We start from the raw sequence: 7,354 nt of genomic DNA on the forward strand, positions 1-7,354 counted from the left end.
GCTCAGCAGGATGTTGGTGGGGCCAGATAAGGGAATAAAAGCAGGCTGCCCCAGCCAGCAGTGGCAACCCACTGGGGTCGCCTTTCCACACTGTGGAAGCTTTGCTCTTTCACTCTTTGCAATAAATCTTGCTGCTGCTCACTCTTTGGGTCTGCACTGCTTTTATGAGCTGTAACACTCACCGCGAAGGTCTGCAGCTTCTCTCCTGAGGCCAGTGAGATCACGAACCCACCAGAAGGAGGAAAGTCCAAACACATCTGAGTATCAGAACGAACAACTCCAGACGTGCTGCCTTAAGAGCTGTAACACTCACCGCGAGGATCCACGGCTTCATTCTTGAAGTCAGTGAGACCAAGAACCCACCAATTCCAGACACAAACCTACACTTGTGCAGTAATGAGTATGTCCAAGTTATACTTATTTCTCAATGGAGACTTAACTGGAATTAAAACTTTGCCTAGGCAACATATTAAACAAAAAATATGCATGTGGAAAACTGTGCAGTAATCATAAATTTGTCTTCTCAAAAAATGCTTTGTTAGCAATAGCAGTAACACCATTCCTGTTCCATGCAGCAACTTCTCAAAACACATTGATACTATCATTGGCCCCATTTTATAGAGGACAAAATGAGGTTCAGGGAGCTTTCTATGACCTCAATTGTCTCAAATGGGGTATGTACAGAACAAGATTTTAAACTAACTTACTCTCACTTGAGAAGCTGAAAGTCATACTCCCTATCTAATTGGTAATAAATGCAGTATGTAAAATATTCTGCTAAAAAAACATTTTTATTATTTCTCATAACTTTTGGAACTTAAAACCAATGGGAAATTTTTTCCAGTTGTAGAACAAGAAAACCAAAGTTCAGAAAGGTTAAATAAATGTTCCAAATACTCCCCACTGGTGAACAGAATATTAAGAATTTGAATCTGGATTTTACTCCATAGTCTGTGTTCTTAACCCCTGTAGTGACTGTCTTTATAAAAGTTGTCCTGTACTCCTCAAAAACAGCTCTGTATTAAAGTCATTTTAGCCTTTCAAATAGAATAGTATCTGCTTAACAGCAGCTCAGTGGCCCAATTACATCTTTTCATTTTTCAGCTATATGTTGAAGTGAACAGTGTTTAAAAATATGTATTTAATTACATATTTTTATAAATTTTTGTTTAGTATTTTCATTTTATTCTCATTAATATAATTAAAGGCTGTGATAATACATGTATTAGTAGTACTAATAGTATATGAATTATTATTTCTGTAATTTTAGTAGAGTTATTCTATCAGGATTTTAATTTGATAATTGTCAAATAATATACAGTAGAAAAAAATACATGAATAAGTTTGAACAAATTTATACATTCAAAATGCTGTTGTAAGCATTAATATCCTTGTGAACGCTAAACTGTCATTTTTTTGTCCTCTACTACCATTTCTGGAATAAATGTTAGTAGTTGAAATAATAAGTGGAGTTTATAGATTTAAATATGATGGAGTGGCACAAGCTAAGAACAGGCTTGTCATATTAGAGTGCAATATTTTGGAATGTTATTGATTATAGTTTTCAGAGAAAGAACACTTTATGCATCATTTATTATTACTAGCAACAATTTTTATTACCTGTATATCAAATAAATGGAAAGCTTCATCTAACTGAGAAGTAGTTGACATGAGTATCTACCACAATCAGAATAGATTCTATCACAACTTACAGTAAAGAGAGCCTACGATGTGAGAATTAGGGAGAGTATTAAAGCAAAGAATGTGCTGGCAATAGTATTGCAAGATGGAATTTATATTCCATATTTACTCCATGAAGCTATTGATTATTTGATAGATATTCTTTCTAACGCAGTGCTGGAATCCAACTTGTCTTCTTTCCATTGCTTTTAAACTAGGTTTATCTCAGGAGACAAGATATTTTCTAGGAAAATCAATGAAAGTAAAACTGAATACTGAAACTTTTACCACCATATTGGCTTCCCTTGTGCTTGGCCACTGATATACTTCCTCAGATTACAGTATTAAGAATGCAAGCTTTAAAGGCTGAGTAGTTTCCTGTAATACTCCAACAAGGTAGAAAGTAGAAAACGTTCCAAATCATATTTGGAGTGTTACAGGAGGGTAGAATTGCAGTTCTTTTTACCTCAACACCCACATGCTCGAAGAAAATCTGTTAGAGTTGTGTCAGCCTTTATGAAAGTGTGATTCTCACCAGCTTTTTTATGTGGATATTAAAACTATAGAATCCTAGGCCAAACCATATATCTACAGAATCAAAAAACTTGCTTTCAGACCTCAGAATGTGTATTTTAACCAGGACTTTAGAGAATGCCCATGTTAATTTAGGTTTGACAACTAGGGCCACAATGGCTTATAAATGAGACAAATATGGATTAGAGTGAAAGTTCTGTCAAATGACCTTTCTAAAGCCTTAGTCTCCATTATAACATCAAGAAAATAATGATTTTTATTCCATATTATTCTTCTAAAGATATAATGAAATAATATGTAAGAAGCATATGTAGTCCCGAGTAGGGCATGTATATAATCAATAAAGTTAGATAGTGTTATTATTATTAGTTATGTCTGTGAGAAAACTACAAAAAATGTTATTCATTCTTGATCTAGATGAAAGGTTGGGACTGTGTTTATGACTTGGGGTTGTGTCACAGGTATCACAAGGGCCTTCATCATAGACATTTCTTAATAAATAATTGCACTGGTCGTTTTTTGACTCACTTTTCCTCTTCCTTCACATTTTGCCAATTAAACCTCCAAAAAAAATCCAATCTATTCATGTCTATCCATTACTACTGCCCTAATATCCCAGTCCAAACCAACTCACCTCTTACTTAAAATGAAGCAATAGCCTCCTAAAAAAAAAACACTTGTAATCTTTAAAACAACAAAAAAAAAAACTGATTGAGATAGTCCCCTGCCTCCATAAAACTAATTTTTAAAACTGGCATTATTTCTTTTTAAAGCCCTTTAACAATGCATTTTAAAAAATAAAAATAAACTAAAAGTTCTTGCAAGTTCTGTTCCTTGCCTACTCTTTTAGCCCCACCTTAAAAAATGTGCCTCCTTCATTTCTGTTTCCCAGACACTATATTTCTTTTTTGAAATAGTCTCAGGTATCTCTTCTCGCAGGAATGTGTACATATCACTTTTTGGTTATGGTTTTAACCTATAACTCCCTCAGGCTTCCTGACTGCTTCTGACTAAATTAGCAGTCTTTTACCCAAGTCATTCGCTTAAGGAATTCTGTCTTAATTCCAGTCCAAATTAAATTATCCCTCCATTTTTCTCTACTTGGAATCTAGATGTTGCTGTTTTTTCCTCCTAACCCATAACTCTTTTAAAATGAAAATATTTATTTTGTATATTTTTGCTAGTTTGTTTAATGCCTGTATCCACCATGACACTGTAATCTCCATGAAGACATACGGTGTCTTTGTTTTATTTTTTACTATAGTCCCCAGGGCAAGCATACCCATGAAAACATTGGCATGCATTACATGATTCTTGTCTGAATAAATGATTGGACAGTTCAGATACTTAAGTACATGTTCTATGTTCAACAACTTGGTACTTTTATTCAAGGTTGTGTATGTGTGTGTGTATATGTATACATATACACACACACATATATATAACACATAAACATTATAACACACATATATAACACACACATATATATCATATATATATAAAACATATATATATATATATATGTTATTGGGAAGAAGATGTAGCACAGTATCATTCCTATTATATTAATAAAAGCAAGAAAACCTGCAGAATGTTCAGATCCTCAGCTTTTAGGCTCTCCTTTGGGCAACACTCTTTTAGATGTTGACAGCATAAAATTGGTTCAGCACTCAAGTCTTCATTCTGCAGATTATTTCTGTGGATAAATCAGCAGGCCTGAATAATTCTTTCCTTTAGCAAGTGCTGTGGGACAAGTAATCCAATTACTCCAGAGACTTTTGTGACATTAAGTGAAGCAATTCAAGAAATCACTAACAATATCCACTTTTAAGATCTAAAAGTATCTTACATTTAAACCTTGAATGTTTTGCTTCTTACTTTCCTTCTCTCTTTTTTTTTTCTTTCATTTCTTGGAATTTAAGTACAGATGTTTTTAAAATAGGGTAAAATTATTAGTGCTTCTATGTGATTGTGTCCATGAAGCTGTGATAAAATGCAGAAGCTCTATAATTTCTATGAAGTAAAAGTTAGCTTTGGATGTCTGTCTTCTAAGATAGCTAAGCAGAGTACATGCCAGATATTTTGCACACATTATTTCATTCAACCATTAAATATTCCCAAAATAGAATATTATTATTCTCTTACTCTAATATATTATTATTCACATCTTGCAGATGACAAAACTAAGACAAGTGTTAATTGGCATGTACAACAAACTCAGCATATTTAATTCACTCCTACATTTTTCTATTTAACTCAGGAAAAATTCCTAAATTATGTAAGTAAATAAAACAAAAGTTTTGTCTCATTAAATAGAATACTAAAAACATAAATAATAAGTCATTATATGTACAATAAGAAGTATTAAAGCTTATAAAAATAAATATAAATAAGTGGATGGTTGAAGGAGGTGGAGGAAATGAGCTATTTCACATACTGCATTCAAAAACAGCATCTCTAAATATTTTGTATTCAAACAGAGATTTCAATGTAAAAAAGAGAGTGAACTATCAAATTATTCAGGTTACTAACTTCCCAGGAAGAGGAATAGCAAGGGTGAAGGCACTAGGCAAGAATAAGTGTGGCAATTTAGAACAGCAAGGTGGTCTGTAATTGAACACAGTTAATAAAGCACAGAATGGTAGCAGCTGAGGATGGAGAAATATTTCCTTAAAATTGGGGTCCAAAGAGGCCATAGAAATGACGTTAAATATTCTTCTAAGCTTTAGAAATGTCACTGGAGGGAGGACTTTGAGGCACAAAGAGGCATATTTTAAAAAATACTTACTATTTTGAGGTATAATTGACATAAAATTGACTTCACTAAAGTGTACAATTCAAGGATTTTTAGCATATGCAGAATTGTGCAACCATGACTAGTATCTAATTTTGTAATAGTCTCATCATCTATAAGATAAATCCAGTATCTATTCCTCACCATCTCCCTTCTTCCATGCCCTGGTAACAATTTAATAAATTGCATCGAACAATCTTCTGGTGCAACTGACATGTTTGTGTAATTAATTATTTAATGCCTACCTCCCCCATTGGGCTATAAGAGTACTTAGGTGAAAGAACAATGCATGGTTTTAATTGTCATTCAACAAATATTAGTGGTATAACTGAATGGATTATATAAAAAAAAACTTCTTAAAATTTTACAATTAGATTTTACTTGAAATAAACCCCTGTTTGTCTCATTTACCTCCCAGTAATTTATGGAGTATTTGTATAATCTATTTTGTAGATTCTTTTAAAACCACATTGCTAGGTATTGTTATATATTCCTTATGCAGTATATTCATATCTCAACTAAACTGCAATTTTAATTCCCACTTAAGTTTTCTCTTTTATCTGATAATTTTGTTTTAGCTGTAACATTCATTAGGAGTATTCTAAAAATATCTTTTTACATTTTTTCATAAAATATCCATGTTGCTTTCATCATGGCATGAATCAAGCCCACTAATGAATATAACATCACTCATTAAACATATCACTTTTAGATATATTCATTATTTTTTGTTTTCTACAATGAGAATTGAATTTGGATTTCTCCTAAGGGTCATTTATCAAAGCAAAAACTAATATCATTGTAATGTTTTTTATTTTCTTGTGTATTTATTTTATTTATTTTTTCTTTTTTGAGACAGAATCTCACTCCATTATCCAGGCAGAGTGCAGTGGCATGATTACAGCTCACTGCCTGGGCCTCCCAGGCTCAAGTGATCCTCCTACCTAAGCTTCCAAAGTTGCTGAAACTACAGGCACATGCCATCATTCCTGGCTAATTTTTAAAATTTATTGTAAAGATAGAATCTCACTATGTTGCTCAAGCTGGTCTCAGACTACTGGGCTCAAGCAATCCTCGTGCCTTGGACTTTCAAAGTGCTAAGATTATAGGCATGAGCCACTGCATTTGGACTGTTTACTTTTAAATTATTTTACCTTCATTAATGAATTGAAAAATAAAATATTGGAATGAGATGAAGAAAATGGAAATGGGGTATGGCCACTCTCTAACTCAATGATATGCTACTGTACACTATTTTACAGCAGACATAGTTAATATGATCCTCAGTAAAGTGACACATTATTTTATATCCTGGAACTTGAAATCTGCTTGCAGATAATTAAAGCCATGAATATCACATGAATAAATGCCATGCAGATGTGGAAATCTCAAAAGTCTACAAAAGCAGTGGCAGATGTTTGGATTAATATGAAGGGTTGGCATATATGATAGACTGGAGACACCACAGGCCACCACAAAATAGAAGTTACTTTTTCCATGCAAAAATTCAAACCCAACATAGCAGATGGAATTTTTTAAGAAGAAATGGGAAACTCAATTTATTTAATGTGGTACCTTCCGTCTTAAATTATACCATTTAAAAAAATTATCAACACTATCTTTTCTAACTCTCCATGATCCAAACACCGTAGGTCTTGGCTAATTTTGTACTATGGATGAGGACTACTCTATTGTATTGTCTTATGGAGAATGTTTGTTTATTGGTTTGTTGTTGTTGTTGTTGTTTGTTTTTGAGACTGAGTCTCACTCTGTTGCCCAGGCTGGAGTGCAGTGTCACAATCTCGGCGCACTGCAACCTCCACCTCCCAGGTTCAAACGATTCTCCTAACTCAGCCTCCCAAGTAGCTGGGACTACAGGCACCTGCCACCATGTCCAGATAATTTTTGTATTTTTAGTAGAGATGGGGTTTCGCCATGTTGGCCAGGCTGGTCTCGAGCTCCTGACCTCAAGAGATCTGCCTGCCTCGGCCTCCCAAACTGATGGGATTACAGGTGTGTGCGACCATGCCCAGCTGTTTATTGGTTTTTAATTTTTTTATTCAGTGGTAAAGTAAATGAATCACAGTATATGAGGATAGAAAGTGTTGTCAAAGGTAAAATAGTACCTCTCTGGGAGAAAGCCCAAAGACCTTTGAATAAAAAGCAAAGGGATAATTAAAAGGAGAAAGCACTTTATATTTCATACTTAATTCCTTCTCTTATAATAGAGGCAATTCTATCTTTATCTACAGCACTGCTTCCGAAATCCCCAAGGAAGACATCTCTGAGCTTGTGTGGATATTGAACCTTATCATTGGCATGCAAAGGCACTAGCCTTTGGCAGAA

The sequence above is a fragment of the Homo sapiens genome, chromosome 6 (genome assembly GCF_000001405.40).
Source record: "Homo sapiens chromosome 6, GRCh38.p14 Primary Assembly".
In the NCBI taxonomy this organism is placed as follows: Eukaryota; Metazoa; Chordata; class Mammalia; order Primates; family Hominidae; genus Homo; species Homo sapiens.